Source organism: Homo sapiens, chromosome 2, assembly GCF_000001405.40.
Source record: "Homo sapiens chromosome 2, GRCh38.p14 Primary Assembly".
Lineage (NCBI taxonomy): Eukaryota > Metazoa > Chordata > Mammalia > Primates > Hominidae > Homo > Homo sapiens.
The window spans coordinates 237,884,001-237,902,479 of NC_000002.12; the positions used below are offsets into that span (position 1 = coordinate 237,884,001).

The window sequence follows — 18,479 nt, forward strand, 5'->3', positions numbered from 1 at the left end:
ACGCAGGTGCTTGCTGGGTTCCGACAGCCCTTGCCCTGACCGTGACCCCACTCCTCCGCTCATCCTGTTGCTTTGTTACCTGGTTGGTGGATTTTGTCAGGTTGTCTGTTGTGAGCAAGGCTTGGGGGTGATTCCTGAGCCCTTTCTAACACGTGTTGGGTGTCTTCCACTCAGCTACATGGAACAGGTCCCTGAAAAGTGGCTGAATGAGCTCAGCGGGGCCAGGCTCCCCTGCAAGCTGGCTGGGCCGTCATTTACCAGGGGTTATCATCTCATTAAGCTGCAGCCTTGGTTTGCTGATGGAGGCATAATGTGATTTAATGTATTAACTGGAGCTACAATCTAATTTGAGGAGGTATAGAAAACCTGGCAAATGTGTCATCGGGAACTCTCATTTCCAGAGACCTTCCTATGGGTGTAGGGGAGGGAGAGAGAAGGCAGAACAGAGAAGAGAAGAATCTGGAACGTGCTGGACTCGGCTATAAAACATGGGTTTTTAAAAGCCTCACGTCAGATTTCCTCACCTAAATAAGAAATGCTCGGTTGATTTAAGAGGGAAGGGGACACGCCTATTCCACCCCACCCTGTATGGCTTCAGGGTCTGAGTGCCATCTTGGGCAGGGGAAAGGTGTCCTCGGGGAAGATGCCAGAGGATGGGGCCACAGCCTTCCCAGCATCTGAGGTCACTGGGCCCCAGAGAACCAGACTTCACTTCCATACCAGCTGGGATGCCTCCGTCCCTCTGCCCTAAAGCTTCCAGGTTTGTAAATACTGACCATGGTAGCCTCAGGTCACCTCAGCTTTGGTTACCCGAGGCTGTCACTGCGGACCCTGCCCTGCCCTGCCGACCCCATGCTGGGCAATCATGGGCCCTCCCCCAGCCCAAGGAGCTGCTCAGAGGACGGGGCTCCAGGCCCCAGGGAGTGGGGCTGCAGCCCAGCGTGGTAGTTGGGGGACGCAAGACAAATGTCTGCAGTGCCTGCTGTGGTACGGCGGCTCAGCATGGCCAGCGCCAGGCATGACGCTCTGGGTCCACACGACGTTGGGCAGGGTGCACCAACACTTTGGGGTCCTTCCCAGCCTGCTGCATTTCCCTCCTGCTGCCTTCTTTGTGTCTCCTGCTAAAAGAGTCAAGTCAGGAAATTCTTCAGAACTCAGCAGCAACATGGGAACAGCTGCTTGTATTTTGAATTTCAGCAGGAACTGAGAGGGAGGCTTCTTCTGAAATCACGAGGGCTGTCTGGGCCAAGGGCAGGGTGTCCTCCTGGATTTCTGCTGAGCTCGACCCCCACGAGGTCTCGGGATGGGCTGTTCACAGAGCCCTGCCCGCCGCCTGCCCCTGCCCGGAGGCCTGGCCCTGGAGCCCACCCACCTCCCTGAGGCCTGTCGTGAGCATCAGGAGCTCCCAGTACAGCATCTGGGGCTGCCTCGGTGCCCTCGTGGGTTTGTTCATGGCGGTGTCCGCCCTGGAACTTGCCACATGCCCACGAGCACTGGGACCCCTCTGTGCTCTCCCTGGTGGCTGTGGTGCTGTCATCCCTGTGTGTGCTGGTGGAATAGCGTGGGCTCCACGGAAAGGCCCTCAGGCGTGGACAGGACAGATGGCAGTGCCCAGCACAGCCAGGTCTCAGAGGATCCAAAGGCGAGCATTGCCCAGGCCGAGGCCGCCCTCCCTGCCTACTGACCTCCCTGCCCACCGCCACACCATCGCTCCTGCCGTGCCCCTCTCTGTGTGTCTGCACCAGGCGTGAAGCCAGTTCTTGTGAGGAAAGCCCTGGCTAGATGTCTGTTCCCCCACCCTCTGCCCCCCCTGGGTGGGAGAATCTTTCCAGGCATCTCCAGAGCACACCCCAGGGGCACGGAAACCCGGCTGCTGACCCCTGACCTCCTGGGGCCTTCAGCACTAATGGCCAGCCCCGCGGGAGGCAGAGGAGCAGGAAGAGCCCCTGGGAGCCGGGTCCTCGAAGACTCCAGGCTATGGCTTACAGAGGAGAAGGGGGCAGAGGAGGAGAGAAGGAGGTGGCTGTGCCAGGAAAGACATGCAGCTCGCGCAGTGACACCAGTCTGGCTCCCCTGAGGACGCCACTCCTGTGGCCTGCGCAGGCATCAGCCGGGGTGCCGGGTCCCCATGGGGACGAGCTGTAGACACAGCTGTCCAGGGCTGGGCAGAGTGGGGCAGTGGCTGGGGATATGCCGGCCCTGCCCAGGCCGCCCCACGGGGGTGTCGTTCCACCTTCCTGTAGTCTCCTTGGCGCGCGTGACCGTGGTTGTGCAGGGAGCGCCTTCTGCTGGTTTTCAGCACTGGAGAAATAAACCAGGGCTCAGAGTCCTTGGCAGCCGCCCCTGGAATGTGTTCAGGTCAGGGGTTGCCTCACTTAACGTGCGCGCCATGGTGGGTTCTGATGAGGATCCCCAGAGGATCTGATGACACCTGCCTGCTGGGCTGGGGGGCTCTGGAATGGGGAGGAGGAGCCCCATTTCCCTTCTCAGAAAGCTCCAGGAGAAATGCATCTGTGAGGACCCACAGAGAGGAGCCCTCGTGTTGGGGGAGCTTGGAGGCTGGGGCTGGAGCGGGCGACTGCTGGCCTCACCCCTCCACACCCAGGGACCACCTTGTCATCCTCAGCACATCTTTTTCGGAAGTCTTCTGGCCCTGGGGGAAGGCACAGATGGAGAGACCTTCCCCAGACCCTGTGGTGACTTAGCGCGGAGCGTGGCACTGAGCCCACCATGGCGTCTTTCCCATCAGGTGATTAACTGCCTGGTTTCACATCCTCCTGAGTATGGGGATGAAATCAGGCCTGTGCGTCAACGCGAAAGGTCAGACATGCGGTGACGCTAACCAGATCCCGGCAGTGAGTGAAAGGGTGGGCAGGTGGAACACGTCTGGTGGCGGGGGCTCGTCGTAGCTCAGCATCCACCCCCGCCTCCCCTGTGGACACTCGACTACAGCAGCCACACCCCCAGAAAGCCCTAGAACCATCCAGGCTGTGCAGACGGGACTTGGCTGTCCTGGGACACAGGCCAGTTTGTGCACACAGGGCTTCACTGAGCCCCGAAGGCGGCCTCCTGGGCTGCCCATGGGGAAGGGGTGGGGGTGGGGTGGGGGAGAGAGGATGAAGATGTGCCCTTGTGTGTGACACCTCTGGCTGTGGGTCCTGTGTGGGGAGGGCAGTGGGTAGAGGACAGAGCAGATGTCCCCTCCTAATGCTGACCTTCACTCCAGCCCCCAGGCTGGGCCATGGCATCTCCCAGGATCTATCCATTCATCACTCAGATGGTAGACATCTCCCAGGCACAGGCAGGGCCAGCAGCATTCTCAGTCCCCTGTGGGAGGGCCTCCAGGGAGCAGTGGCACCTCACAGCCTTCCCTGTGCATAGTTCGAGGACACCGAGTATCTTGCGGGACCTAAGCACAGGGTGCCCTTTGGGATGCGTCTTGGGACAGGCCTTGGGTCTGAGTCCACTCTTGTTTCAGCTTCTTGTCTCAATCAAAAAATGGAGAATGCACTTTCTGAAAAAGAGACTGAGTTTACCCTCACTGCCCAGGCAGTGGAGGCCGCCTCACTCTAGGGCAGGCCACACTGGCACGCTGTGGTTCCCTACTCCTGCTCGAGTTAAAGCCATTTCCTGGTTTTTGCTATTATAAATGATGGAGCTGGGCACAGTGGCTCACACCTGCAATCCCAGCACTTTGGGAGACCAAGGCATGTGGATCACTTGAGCCCAGGAGTTCGAGACCAGCCTGGGCAACATGGCGAAACCAGGTATCTACAAAAAATGTAAACATTAGCTGAGTGTAATGGGCGCACCTGTAGTCCTAGGGAGGCTGAAGTGGGAGGATCGCCTCGGCCCAGGAGGTTGAGGTTGTGCCACTCCATTCCAGCCCAGGTGACAAAGTGAGACCTTGTCTGAAATAAATGACAACACTATAAGAACTTGTGTACATATATCCTTTGTTTTTTTAAAAAAGATTTTGTTGTTAGACATTCCTGGGAGAAATAATTCATGCAAGTAGGCTTACTGTAGCATGTACCATGAACATTCTGTGGTTCTGGGGGGTTTTTTTTTGAGACAGAATCCTGCTGTGTCGCCCAGGCTGGAGTGCAGTGGCACAATCTCGGCTCACTGCAACTTCTGGCTTCTGGGTTCAAGCGATTCTCCTGCCTCAGCCTCCCGAGTAGCTGGGATTACAGGTGCCTGCCACCATGCCTAGCTAATTTTTTGTATTTTTAGTAGAGACAGGGTTTCACTATGTTGGCCAGGCTGGTCTCAAACTCCTGATCTCAGGTGATCCACCTCCGCCTCTCAAAGTGCTGGAATTACAGGCGTGAGCCACCACGCCCGGCCCATTCTGTGGTTCTTGATAGATTTTTGCCAGTTGTTCCTCTAAAGAATTTTACTAATTTATAATTCTATCAGCAACATATGAAAATGCCTAGTTCCTCATAGGCTCGTGAGTATTGAGTTTGTAGGGATTTTATTTTTGCAGGTCAAAGGAGATTTCCTCTGTAGTTTTAGTTTGCATGTCTTTGGCAATTAGGAAAGTTGAACTGGTCTCTGACAGTTATTTGGAATTTGTTTTTTCTCAAGTGCAAGTTACGTCACCATGACCTTTCCTATTTGTCCTGTGAGTCATTGCCCTTTTTTCCTTTTTTTAAGACTTTATTTTTTAGAGCAGTTTTAGGTTCACAGCAAAATTGAGAGGAAGGTACAGAGATTTCCCATATGCCCATTGGAGGTATTTTTAATCTTCTTTTACAAATTCTTTTTTTTGTTTGTTTGTTTTGAGACGGAGTCTCCCTCTCTTGCCCAGGCTGGAGTGCAGCGGCACAATCTTGGCTCACTGCAACCCCTGCCTCCCGGGTTCAAGTGATTCTCCTACCTCAGCCTCCTGAGTAGCTGGAACTACAGGCACCCGCCACCACGCCCAGCTAATTTTTTGTATTTTTAATAGAGACGGGGTTTCACCATGTTGGCCAGGCTGGTCTCGAACTCCTGACCTCAAGTGATCCATCCGCCTCGGCCTCCCAAGATTACAGGCATGAGCCACTTTGCCCGGCCATAGATTCTTGAAGAATATATATATTAACTATTTGCCATTGTGCTCTAAATATTTTCTTGTTTCGTTTGTGTGTCTTTTGATGTTCATTTTCCACACTGTCGTTCATTAGCTAATCTGTGAACACATGGATGCTCCCATTCACCCCTCATCAGTCAGTGACCGTGTGACCTCCGCACAGCTGTAACTGTCCACAGACTCTGTCGTCTCAATTGTGAGAGTCATATGCCCACAAGATTATGTTCTGTGTCTTTGTAGTTGTTCTGTGTTTTGAAATGATATGTATCTTCTTAACACAGTGGATGGACAGAAATGTATTTCCTTCCCACCTCAATTATCCTAACAGAATTTGTTAAATAATGTCGCCAACCTCCATTGTTTTGTGTTGCTTAATTTAACACATAATAGCTTCCTATGTGCATTAGAGTCTATTTGAAATAATTTTTACTTATATTCTGGGGTCGTACCACGCCATTTAAATTACCACAACTTTACAATATTTCCTACAATTTAGAAGGCCTCTCCTACCATGTTTCATTTTCATTATATTTTACATTATGTTTTGCATGCTTTGATATATTTTCTGCCTATTTTTCCAAAAGAACTTAAGAATCATGTTGCTAAATTCCATAAAAAGTCATTGCAGCCCCGACCTCCTGGGCTCAAGCAATCCTCCCACCTCAGCCTCCCAAATAGCTGGAACTACAGGCATGTGCCACCACACCCAGCTAATTTTTATTTTTTTGTAGAGATGAGGTCTCCCTATGTTACCCAGGCAGGTCTTGAATTCTGGGCTAACGCAATCCTCCTGCCTGAGCCTCCCAAAGTGCTGGGATTACAGTTTGATGGGTTGTTACCTGATACTGCTTTTTAGCGAATAGTAGGAAAACTACCATGGACCTTGGGGACCAAGCATGCAGTGCCAAGTGGGGCCCGCCTGCAGAAACCCCGCCGGCTGCGTCCCTCCTTCAGCGCTGTGAGCCTCTGCGGCCTCCCCAGTAAAATGGGTATAGAAAGTGATGAATAAGGAAGCTCCGGATTTTCCTCTTTGTGTTTCCTTAATCAGGTTTTAGGGTTAGGACCACGTTTGCCTAATGGGATAGACATGCTAGCCCACCATTAGAATCAAGGGTGGGAAATAATTTTTTTTTTTTTTTGAGACAGAGTCTCACTGTGTCACCCAGGCTGGAGTCCAGTGGTGTGATCTTGGCTCACTGCAACCTCCACCTCCTGGGTTCAAGTGATCCTCCTGCCTCAGCCTCCTGAGTAGCTGGGACTACAGGCACTCACCACCACGCCTGGCTAATTTTTGTATTTTTGGTAGAAATGGGGTTTCACTGTGTTTCCCAGGCTGGTCTCAAACTCCTGGGCTCAAGTGATCCACCCGCCTCGGCCTCCCAAAGTGCTGGGATTACAGGCATGAGCCACTGCACCGAGCCAGAAATAATTTGTGATGTGAGAATTACTTATTTCTTAGAAGTTTGAATGAATTCATCACTAACACCATCAAACCTCAGTAATTTGGGGGATTTCCTTCTCCAGTTACTTCCTCCACTATTGATTTATTTTGACTTTCTAGCTCTTGTTTTAACGGTTATCTTCATCTGTGTTTATTTGGTCTATGTCCTTCAGATTTCTCAGTTAACTGAAACATGCTGCATAGTATTCCTTTACGTGTTTAATATCCCTTAGACTCAAGCTTATGCCTCCACTTTTGTTTTTGCTGTGTTTCTTCTTTCCCCTTTTTTTCTTTGTTTAGATGCTATTTCATTCATCAAAAGGAACTGAGAGGCCACTGTTTAATGAACCGCACATGCCCAGTTTTGTAGTCTTTAGAAAATAGGCCACACTTTGCATCACCGTGTCTTTTCTCAGTTTTTTTGCTTTAACTTTTACCACTCACTTCCCCCCTTTTCCCTTTCTTAAAATTGTTTCTTTCCTAAGATATGATTTCAATCCTTAGTTCATCATTTTTCTCACTTTTCTTGAAAATAATAAAGACATTTAAGGCTGTGATGTGTTTCTCTAAGGACTTTCCTCATTCATCACTTTCTATAGGTTTTGATATGTCAGTTTTTTTCATTGTATTCTCTTTTTTTTTTTTTGAGACGGAGTCTCACTCTGTCACCCAGAGTGAGGGTGCAGTGGCATGGTCTCGGCTCACTGCAAGCTCCGCCTCCCGGGTTCACGCCATTCTTCTGCCTCAGACTCCTGAGTAGCTGGGACTACAGGCGCCCGCCACCACGCCCGGCTGATTTTTTGTATTTTTAGTAGAGACAGGGTTTCACCGTGTTAGCCAGGATGGTCTCGATCTCCTGACCTCGTGATCCGCCTGCCTCGGCCTCCCAAAGTGCTGGGATTACAGGCGTGAGCCACCGCGCCCAGCCCATTGTATTTTCTTAACAGACAGATATTGTCTTCTTGACTTTCTTCTCAAGACAATTTTTTCCTTAGGTAAGTATATTTTAAAATATACTATTTCTATTTCTGTTTGTTCTTAATCTCTTTTTTTGCCGTAGGGAGGAAATGTAGCCTGAATCATTTCTGCTTTTGTATTTTTATGGAGATTTGATTTGAGACTAGTATATGATGACTTTTTGTGAACATACAATGAATACTTGAAAAAGAAGAAATTATCTGTTTGTTCTATTTAATCCCCACCAAAACAACCATTAATGTTACCTTGTTTTGATCTTCAGCTCCTTTATGTGTTGCTGAATTTCTTATGTAGTTGATAATGAAGTATTTTAATTTTATAATCATATTTTTATCATTTCTACTTCTTTTTTCTCAGAGATATTTGCATATATGTTTTGCTCTGTCTTTATGGCATTTAGATTCCATGTAATTATGCTGCCACCACCCATGCCTCTCATCCTGATACCTCTCCTTATCACATGTAATCATTTTTGCTCTAAATTATTTTTTGCTATATATTAACATTGGAATCCCAGCCTTTCAACTACTTGAAGTTTACTGGTAACTCTTTTTAGTCTTCCTATTTTGTTTTAATGACCTCTCTTGCCCACAGCTTATTGCTGGATTTCATTTTTTCTTCTGGAGAGTGGCAAGCCTTTTAACACAGGAAATTAAGTTGTATTTTTTCAATCTTCAGGCACTCCAATTTTTGTCTTAATTGTTTATCTTTCCATGCTGATTACTTTTCTTTTCCCTCAATTGTTGAAACACCATGTGTTTTTTCTTTCTTTCTTTCTTTTTTTTTTTTTTTTTTTTGAGACAAGCTGGAGTGCAGTGGTGTGATCATGGCTCACTGCAGCCTCAACCTCCTGGGCCCAAGAGATCCTCCCACCTCAGCCTCCCAAGTAGCTGGAACTACAGGCATGCACCACATCATCTGCCTAATTGTTTCTATTTTTTGTAGAGATGGGGTCTCACTGTGTTGCCCAGGCTGGTCTTGAACTCCTGGGCTCAAGCAATCCTCCCATGTTGGCCTCTCAAAGTGTTGGGATTGCAGGTGTGAGCCACCGTGCCCAGCCTGTGTTTTCTCTTCTATTATTACTGAAATATTGGCAAGCTGTTTTTCATTCAACCAGCCATGAAATGTGAAGCAAACAGATGTTCTTATCTTGTACTTATTATCTTACATTGTCCAACCACACACTTTGGCCTCCCCTGTGTGAGATGACAGGAATCTGGGTTTTGGGCTTCCTCTTCTCTCTCTCTCTCTCTCTCTCTTCTCCATCCTTCTCTCCCTCCCCCACTTCTTCCTTCTCCTCAATGATTGCAATTAATGTTCTAAAACCTACTTTTTCCTTTCTGTCTTCTATGTAATTTGGTTTTTAATTTTTACGCTGTTTTTCTGACAGTTGCACTATTTGCATACTTTTATCAGTAATAACCCTTGCTCTGATAGGGCTCTTGTTTACTTATCTTTGCAAATAGGTTGTTAATTCAAGCGTGTCTTATTTCTAGCATCATTCCCTTTTACATGTTACCTTTTAAATTCAGGAGATTATTTCAAGTAGGTCCTAGAAATAAGCCATGTGATTAATACATTCTCAGAATTCAACAATTTCTAAGGAGCTCTCTGCCGTCTTTGCAACGTGAGTGACAGCTTGGCAAGATAATAAATCTCCAAGGAGCAACCTTGTTCTGTGAAGTTCCTGTAGCTGTTGTTCCATTGTCTCTGGGTGTTTGGGATGTCATCAGAGAAGGCAGAAGGGATTGTGATTTATGTATATTTTTAAAATCTGACCTCCTCCTTCCTGGCGTGGTTGCTTGCAGTATTCTTTTTGGTTTAAACATTTTGTGAGAACTTGTTTTGCTGATGGCCTCGTTAAGCCTGCAGAAGCTTTGGTGTGCAGTGCAGTTTCCTCCTCGGACTCCTTTCTCCAGGACCGGACACTGACATTCCCCGATAGCTGAGGTTTCCGGACATGGTTCCTCCGGCACCCTCCTCTGTCCCCTCTGTGCTCCAGTGGAATTATTTTTGCCTTCTTTCACTTCTTTGTCATATCTTGCACTGTTTCCACCTGTACATGTTACATCCTTTTTCCAGATACATTTTTCCAGATAATCTGTTTTTACTTCCTGTAATACAAATTCTGCTTTTTACTCTTTCTAAAGTAGTTTCGGCCGGGTATGGTGGCTCACACCTGTAATCCCAGCACTTTGGGAGGCCAAGGCAGGTGGATCACTTGAGGTCAGGAGTTCGAGACCAGTGTGAGCAACATGGCGAAACCCTGTCTCTACTAAAAATACAAAAATCAGTTGGGCGTGGTGGCACGCACCTGCAGTCCCAGCTACTCGGAGGCTGAGGAAAGAGAATTGCTCTCGAACCCAGGAGGTGGAGGTTGCAGTGAGCCAAGATTGTGCCACTGCACTCCAGCCTGGGCAACAAGCACAAAACTTTGTCTCAAAAAAATAAGTAAAAATAAAAATACTTTCTTTTTTTTTTTTTTTTTTTGAGACAGTCTCACTCTGTCACCCAGGCTGGAGTGCAGTGGCGTGATCTCAGCTCACTGCAACCTCCGCCTCCCAAGTTCACGTGATTCTTGTGCCTCAGCCTCCCTAGAAGCTGGGACTACAGGTGCATGCCATGATGCCCAGCTAATTTTGTGTATTTTTAGTAGAGACAGGATTTCGCCATGTTGCCCAGGCTGGTCTTGAACTCCTGACCTCAAGTGATCAGCCCACCTTGGCCCTCCAAAGTCTTGGGATTACAGGCGTGAGCCACTTCACCCGGCCTAAAGTAGTTTTTAATTAGGATATTGTAATTGAAACTAATTATACTGCAGTGAATTAAAGTTTCCTTTATCCCCAAGCCTAATGGACACATTAACTCACCTCTTTACAGGGAGGCCAGATTTCTGCCATTGTGGGAAGGAGGCAGGAGGAGCCGGGGGCAGTGCTGGGGTGGGAGCTAGGCCAGGGCGAGGCTGGCTGTGGAAGGGCCCTTTGGGCAGCCGCAGGCCATACGTCCTCAGACCTGGGGCAGCCAGGACCACCAGGGAATGTTGCTGACAGGCAGCACCAGCGCCTGAATCCCCCGCCCCAGATGGACCTGGCTAGGGGGTGAGACCCCCCTGCCACCCCTCCATCCCAGAAGCCAGGCGGGGCTGAGGCTCTATGGGTCCCCACCACACTTATTTATTGGCACCTTCATCCTCCTGGTGCACTGTGGCAGTTCCAAGGCCCAGGCTGTCCAGGTGGCTTTTGAACTGTGGAGAGGCCCCTGGACGGCTGGAACCTTCTCCCTTGCTCGGGTGAATGTGGCTCCCCGTGGTGCACAAACACGTTCAAAGACGGAACAAAGGGACACGTGTTCATAGGAGGTGAGACAAAGCGTTGCCAGCCCTGGGGAACAGGAGTGGCCTGTTCCTACTCCTATCTGGTTGTGGTTCTCCTTCGACAAGTTAGGTGAAGGCACCTTGGTAGCAGGGTACCCTTCAGAATCCAGATACCTGATTCAGCTCAGCAGCCATTTGCTGAGCACTTAGCAGGCACCTAGCCAATGGTGCCAGCCACCAAGGGCCCAGCAGGGCAGGACCTCCCCCTCCCTCCTGGAGCCACGGCCCCCCAGCACCATGGCCTCTGGAGCCCCTCACCCTCCCTTGAGGTCAGCCCTATGGTGGCGATTGTAGAGCGAGTCAGGAGCGAGACAGGAGGCCACGTGTTGCCTGCCTGTGTGGGGCTCCCATCCAAAGGCAGGGCAGCGCGAGTCACATGCCCACCCCCTGCTGTGCAAAGGGGTCCTGTGGGGGGGTCATGGGCTCCCATCAGAGAATGGCATGGTGGTGGCCCTCTGAGGGAGTTCTCACCACGCTGCTGCTGTGAGCCAGGGATCACTGAACCCATTTTAAAGGTGAAAACACCGAGGCTCCGTAACTGCCAACTCCTCAAAACCCCCACAGTGAACACCCCACGTTGGGATGTTTCCTGGCCTGGCCTTTCCCCACACTCAGTGTTGCCCTGAGCTCCAAACGAGGTGAGATTGTGGCAGGAGGGCAGGGGTGGCAAGGCTGCTACCCCGATGGAGGCGGCCAGTTGGTGGGATGCCCGAACAGGGACCAGCATGGTGCAGGGCGCCCCGTGGGTGGGCAGGATGGGTCGCTGAAGGCTCGTGAAGCCCGGCAGGGGTCCCTGAAGAGTCTAGTGGCATCGGGGGAGAGTTTCTTGTACAGAGAGGGTGAGTATGCTTTGGGCCGGCTGGCTGGGGCTGAGACCAGGGGTGGATAGGAAGGCAGAGCCCGTCCAGCCTCCAGGCCAGCGTTGCTTCACAAGGACAATGCCCCCAGGGTGTTAGCATCCAAATATAGCTTGCCGGCTGTCATGCTTAATCCTGAGACTCGGACACATGTCACACCCATGTCCCCGTGAGGTGGGAACCCTGGGGCCTGGACAGGCCTGAGTGTGGTCTCAGCCCCATCACACACAGCTGGGCAGCTAGACCTGGGTGTCCCCACAGGGGTGCCAGGACACCTCCCAGGGGTTGTAGTGAGCCCTCAGCACCCGGCCCACAATGGGCACAGCTCAGCGATCTCCCAGCATTCCCTGATCCTCGGACCCTGGGACGCAATGCAACCCCTGCTCAGGCCCAGATGCAGCCAGCATAGGACAGTCTGTGACTTTGCCTGGGACACCCACTGCATTTTAAAACTGCACTTCATTTGGCAGCCCCAGGAGCCAGGGCGCTGCCCAGGCCTGTTCTCAGAGGAGGTATTATGCCCGTCCGCCCGCCTGCTGTGGCTGCTCTGTGGGGAGCCTGACTTGGCAGCTCCCAGGCTGTGTCTGGTGCCAGACCTGGCTGCACATGGAGCCAGGGATGGATTTAGAAACCTCTCGCTTCTCCCAGCATGGGCAGAGGCGCCCAGATTCCTCCCCGGCCTGGGGCCACCATAGCAGGAGAAGGGGAGGGAGGCAGAGGAAGCCAGGCCCAGGGAGGGCCAAGCAGCCCCCAGGCAGACCCCTGGACCGTTCCCCAGTCTGCACTGCCGCCTCAGGGACCTCCCCATCACCTCAGCAAGCGCCCTTTTCTGTAAGGAGGGGGTAAGAACACCTGCCCTCGGGTGATGTGAGAAGCACACTCACGCGGGGAAACAGGTCTTAGTATTTTCTTAGACTTTGTTTTGTTTTGTTTTAAGGCAGGGTCTCACTCTGCCGCCTAGATTGGAATGCAGTTGCATGATCTTAGCTCACTGCAGACTTGACTTCCTGGACTCAAGCAACCCTCTTGACTCAGCCTCCCAAGTAGCCAGGACTATAGGCACACACCACCACTCCTGGCTAACTTTTAAACTTTGTGTAGAGATGGGGGAGTCTCTCTGTGTTGCCCAGACTGGTCTGGAACTCCTGGGCTCAAGCGATCCTCCTGTTTTGGCCTCTCAAAGTGCTGGGGTTGCAGGCGTGAGCCACTGCACCCAGCCTCTTAGACTTTTGGACAGCAGAGGGGCCAGGCCTTTAAATGTCCTGGGGGTGTGATGTGCTGTCCGTGGGGATGGTGGGGTCACCTGCCCCAGCCTCAGTGGGTCCCTCTTTTACATGCCTGCAGCTCACCGGATGCTCCCGTGTGGCACTCAGCTATCATGAGGTGTGCATCCGTCCAGGTGGACCCCAGAGCCCCGCATGCAACCACGGGCCCCGCCTGGGCCTCAGCCTCCATCCCAGGAATGGGAGAACCAGCTTCACTTCAGGCCAGGAAAGAGGGAGACTGAAAGAGCAGATGACATGGGACAGGACAGAGCCTGAGGCCCAGACAGGCCATGAGCGAGGGGAGGTGAGAATAAGGCCACAGGTGGTCCCGTGTCTGCCTTCCCTGCTCAACGTGCAGAGAGGGCTGGCCATTTTCTCCGGCTTCATCAGCATGCTCTACAGTCACTGCGAGTGTTGCAGGAGGAATTGTGGCCTCCTCCACAGCAGCGAGAACACTGAGCCCCGTTTCATCTGTCTTCCTCCTGTTTCCTTGAACCCTCCCAAGATTCTTTCTTTGGTGCGTTATTCATGTTGTTCCTTTTCCTGCAAGAGAGAGGCCTTTGTCCTCCTTGTTCAGCAAGCACCTAGTCAGTGGTAAAGTGCAATATTTAGCTGGTAACAAAGGTGTGGAATGGAATTGGCTTCCATGATTTGGCGAAGTATTTGCAAGAAGCCTATGGTGAGGCTTCTTGTTTACAGATCCACGTGTCTTAGTGGAAACCTCAGAAACACATGCTCTCGTGGATGCTGTCATTCTTCTTTTTTTGTTTGTTTTGGTTTTTTGGGGGGGGGTTTTGTTTTTTGTTTGTTTGTTTGTTTTTTGAGATGGGGTCTCGCTCTTTCTCCCAGGCTGGAGTGCAGTGGTGCAACCTCAGCTCACTGCAACCTCCACCTCCCGAGTTCAAGCCATTCTCCTGCCTCAGCCTCCTGAGTAGATGGGACCACAGGCGTGCACCACCACGCCCAGCTAATTTTTGTATTTTTAGTAGAGACTGGGTTTCACCATGTTGGCCAGGCTGGTCTCAAACTCCTGACCTCAGGTGATCCACCCTCCTCAGCCTCCCACAGTGCTGGGATTGCAGGCGGGAACCACTGTGCCTGGCCAGATGCTGTAATTCTTTGGAAAGGGATGGAGTTGGCATTTCCCCTTATGCTGTTGGGAAAATGGCTTTGCTAAGATGTCAGAAGTCCCTGTTAATACAACTTAAATAGATAAACCATAGTCAGAGCCTGGGGAAAATTCCTGTTTAACATATTCATTTGCATGCAGTGATGACACTTATTTCAAAGCATTCCTGTCTCAGCAATGCAGTAGGTCAAATGTGTAGGCATCCCTGGGCTGGCACAGGTACATAGGACTTCTAATGCTTGGCCTTTTCCCTAGTTTGATTGTACTCTCTGACCAGCCTGATTTAGGAAGGGTTTGATAGTACAATATCCGTCTTTCCCTCACGCGTGCTGCCAGTCCCAGGGGGATGGGAGCAGCCACTCACCCGTAGGAGTTCCAGGTGTGCACAGCTGGCTCAGAGCCTGCTGGCCCAGCACACATTTCCCAGGCCAGCACAGTGTGCTGAAGTGCTTTTCATCAAACAGTTAACAAGACTTCCTTATACATTTCCCCAGTGTCAAGAAAAACAAAAGGTGCCCAGTTCTCTGCTGCCTCCAGCAGTGCTGGGCAGAAGTGAGACAGGAAGCCAGGCTCCCGAGCTCACACACGCAGACGTAGGTGGGAAGCTACACTGCGTGGGCTTTCACATCCCCAGGGCCCGGGCTGAGGCCTCTTAAAGACAAGCTGGCCCTGTGCTTGCTCCACACCTGACGCACGCCAGGCCAGGCCACAGCGTGGCTCTCTGTCAACAGAGGAAGTGGCGCAGTAAGTGGCCAGCCCCTCCCTGCTTTGGAAAGGTCCCGCTATTCACAGAATCCTGGGTGTGAGCCCTGACACCAAAGGCAGAAACCACAAGGGAGAAGCCAGCCCTGGCTGCCTAAATGCGAAATAAGCCTGTTGCTGGCTGCCACGAAAATGCCACTGTGTTCCAGTCCTAAATGGGGTGCATGCTATTGGTTTGAGACAGTGATTTTTTTTTTTTCTTTGAGACTGGGTCACACTCTGTCACCCATGCTGGAGTGCAGTGGCATGATCTCCGCTCGCTGCAACCTCCGCCTCCCGGGTTCAAGCAATTCTCCTGCCTCAGCCTCCTGAGTAGCTGGGACTACAGGCACACGCTGCCACACCCAGCTAATTTTTTGTATTTTAGTAGAGATGGGGTTTCACCGTGTTGCCCAGGCTGGTCGCGAACTCCTGACCTCAGGTGACCCGCCCGCCTCGGCCTCCCAAAGTGCTGAGATTACAGGCGTGAGCCACTGCACCTGGCCGAGAGAGAGATTTTTATCACATGAAGAAAATAGCTTCTTTCTGTGTTTTCAAGGTTGTGGCTTTTTTAAAATCAGAAAAGAATATTGAGTTTTCTCAAATGCCTTCTCAATGCGTATTAAAATGACGGTACATTTTTTTCCCATGGTGTATTAAAGTGTGATTTTGTAGTAACAGGTTTAAAGCATTCCTGAAATTAGCCCTCCTTTAAATAAAATATGCTATGTGGCTAGATGAAGTTTGTTAGCATTGGGTAGGGGACTTGAGTGTCTATTTATAGGTGGAAGCGAAGGGCATCTGTTCCGTCCGTGTGCGCATGCGTTGAGACGCATGTCATGCCATCTCAAGAGGCTTGGGATCAGGGTTTGTTAACTTTTTTAAATGAACTGGGAAGCTGCACATCTTTTTCTTTCACTTTAAGAATTTGCAGTGGCTCACGCCTCCCACACCTGTAATCCCAGCACTTTGGAAGGCCGAGGTGGGAGGATCGCTTGAGCCCAGGAGTTTGAGACCAGCCTGAGCAACATAGTGAGAACCTGTCTCAATTAAAAAGAAAAAAAAAGAATTTGAAAGAACTGCCTGGGATCTAGTGCCTTTTGAAACAGCAATTCTTTAATAACATTTGCCATTTTTCTTCTTGGAATTCCTCCTTTTTAAGTCGATATTTGATAGTTTATAATTTAACCAAAAAGTATCCCAATTCACTGAGGATTTTCCAATTTTTAACAAACCTTTTTTACGTATTAATCTCTTATACTTCTTCTTTTTCTTTTCTGTTTTTTGTTTTTTGTTTATTTGTTTGTTTGTTTAGGACAGTGTCTGGCTCTGTCGCCCAGGCTGGAGTGCAGTGGCACGATCTCGACTCACTGCAACCTCTGCCTCCTGGGTTCACGGCATTCTCGTGCCTCAGCCACTCAAGTTAACTGGGACTACAGGTGTGTGCCACCATGCCTGGCTAATTTTGATATTTTCAGCAGAGATGGGGTTTCGCCATGCTGCCCCGGCTGGTCTTGAACTCCTGAGCTCAAGTGATCTGCCCACCTCGGCCTCCCAAAGTGGTGGTATTACAGGCGTGAGCCACCGCACCTGGCCTATATTGCTTCTAATAATTATTGATGGACAAATTATGTGCCATTTGGAGAGATTTATTTTGTTCTTTTTAAAAAATATCTTGCTTTGGATACTTATTTTGTTTATTTTCATTTATTTTTGTTTAATAAAATAATTTATAACTATTAATTTTTCTCAGAATTCACTTTTGCCCCATTCCATTCATTTGTACATATAGTATTGCCGATCTTGTTCTCTTAATATTTTGTAATTGAATTTTTAAATTCTCCTGTGACTTCGAAATTATATAAATGATCTTTCATTTCTAGGAATTCCATTTTTTTAAATTTATCCTTTTTTTAAAACTAATTTTTAGTTTTCAGTATTGTAGCCTGAGAATATTGACTTATGATTTATACTCTGGGGATTTGATGAGTCTCTTTTTGCCGCCTAACACAGACCCAGGGGCCTTTGAAAAGCCGGCTGAGTCTCTGTAGAATAGAACCTTTATCAGACAGTCACTGCATCGGTTTATTAACATTATTTTTCATAATCACTTTATGCTACTGTTTATCTACCTAGCCTTGGGAGGTGTGTTTAAGTCTCCCACGTGTCTTGCGTTCCTGGCAGCTGCGGGCTGTCTGTACGCTGTGGCGCAGTGCCAGCTGTCCTGGGTGGAGCATCCCCATCAGCCCCACTGATGGCCCTTCTCACCGGCCTGGGCCAGGTCTGCTGGGAAGCCCACACCCCTGCTCACCTTCTGTCTGCGTCTCCTGGGTACATCCCTCTCTCGCTGTCTTCCTTCAGGCTTTGTTTCACTTTGCCTTGGAGGTGGCCACTGTGACCAGAGTAAGGGGGATTTTTGCTCTTACCCTCCCTGCCCCGGTGGTGTCTGCAGTCTGGTTGTTGAGACCAACAGTGGGTGAATAATCACATGAGTTCATGGACAGCCACAAAGTAACACCCATCTATGAAGGAAAACCCCACTTTGCTGGGGAAGCCAAATATGATTGAAGCATCCAGAAAAGGCCTCTTTGAGGACGTGACATTTAAGCGAAGGGCGAGCATAGGGTGGCCTTGTGAAGATGAGGCTAAGAGCTTTCCAGTTAAAAGGAACAGCATGTGCAAAGGTCCTGAGGCAGAACACTGGCCACTGTGGCTAGAATGTGGCCAGCAGGAGGGAGGGGACCCAGTTGAGTGACCCACACAGAAGCTTCTGAATCTGGGACAGGTGTAATGGTGAGCACTGAAGGCGTGAAGCAGGGGTGGGAAGGTGTGGACGGTGGGCTTGGGCAGCGGCCAGGGTGTGGGATGTGGCCTGGAGAGCCCGTGGTAGCTAAGCCCAGCATGCAGAGTGGAGGGCGGTGGAGGGGTTTGATGGCTGCCCCTGACTAAACTGGGGGAGGCAGAAGAAGGGGTAGATAGATGCCAAGCCCCCACATACTCACTACAGAAAAGTGGAAGCTGGTATGTAAGTTGTAATAACCCATCCACCAGGACGAGTCACTTCTGCCCCATCCTGGGCACAGTGATGGGGCCTCAGGAGGGGAGGGCACCCTTGAGGGAAAGGGGAGCCATGATAACTCAGGGGATAGGCATGGCATGGGGGCCCTGAGTCACATGTGTTCACAGCCAGAAGTGAACAGCCCAGGCTTCAGGTGGAGGAGGGAGAATGGGGAACTCTCAGGTGCAGCCCAAGGCCGAGAGAGAAGGAGCACTTCGCGGGGGATGCCTCTCCTCCGGGGGCTGGTAAGGGCCCGGGGTCTTCAGTGAGTGAGGATGCCCCACTGCCACCCGGAGCAAGGCTGGAGTGAGGATGAGGTGGGGGCCTGGAGCAAGGGCGAGGTGGAAGAGGGAGGGGTAAGGAGGGATCGGGAGGAGGAGGAGGGGCTGGGAGGAGGAGGGAGGGATCAGGGGGTGGAGGAGGGGCTGGGAGGAGGAGGGAGAGGCCAGGAGGAGAGAGGGATCAGGAGGAAGAGGAGGGGCCAGAAGGACAGGGAGATGGAGGAGGGAACAGGAGGACCAGGAGGACGCAGAGGTCTCCGCAGAGGGGGTGGGGGG

The 18,479-nt window shown here is 50.7% G+C and overlaps 1 protein-coding gene across 5 annotated transcripts in view, besides 6 other annotated features; it reads left to right on the forward strand.

The window, feature by feature from the left end:
- RAMP1 (receptor activity modifying protein 1) overlaps positions 1 to 18,479 on the forward strand; it is a 53,227-nt gene that overhangs the window by 25,121 nt on the left and 9,627 nt on the right. The gene's annotated exons all lie outside the window — the stretch shown is intronic.
- Positions 5,144 to 5,344: a silencer, noted in NCBI's record as "peak4098 fragment used in MPRA reporter construct". NCBI's record gives its function as "represses an SCP1 promoter by STARR-seq MPRAs in K562 erythroleukemia cells {active_cell/tissue: K562}" and the evidence as "EXISTENCE:reporter gene assay evidence [ECO:0000049][PMID:32103011]".
- Positions 10,726 to 14,955: an enhancer, noted in NCBI's record as "VISTA enhancer hs1968". NCBI's record gives its function as "enhancer in: dorsal root ganglion[3/5]" and the evidence as "EXISTENCE:transgenic organism evidence [ECO:0001131][PMID:17130149]".
- Positions 10,726 to 14,972: a biological region, named in NCBI's record as "VISTA enhancer hs1968".
- Positions 10,993 to 11,871: an enhancer, noted in NCBI's record as "H3K27ac-H3K4me1 hESC enhancer chr2:238803635-238804513 (GRCh37/hg19 assembly coordinates)". NCBI's record gives its function as "activates a minimal SCP1, AML or CMV promoter by ChIP-STARR-seq in naive H9 embryonic stem cells {active_cell/tissue: H9 hESC(naive)}" and the evidence as "EXISTENCE:reporter gene assay evidence [ECO:0000049][PMID:30033119]".
- Positions 14,923 to 14,972: an enhancer, noted in NCBI's record as "active region_17377". NCBI's record gives its function as "activates an Ori minimal core promoter by ATAC-STARR-seq in GM12878 lymphoblastoid cells {active_cell/tissue: GM12878}" and the evidence as "EXISTENCE:reporter gene assay evidence [ECO:0000049][PMID:35858748]".
- Positions 15,053 to 15,162: an enhancer, noted in NCBI's record as "active region_17378". NCBI's record gives its function as "activates an Ori minimal core promoter by ATAC-STARR-seq in GM12878 lymphoblastoid cells {active_cell/tissue: GM12878}" and the evidence as "EXISTENCE:reporter gene assay evidence [ECO:0000049][PMID:35858748]".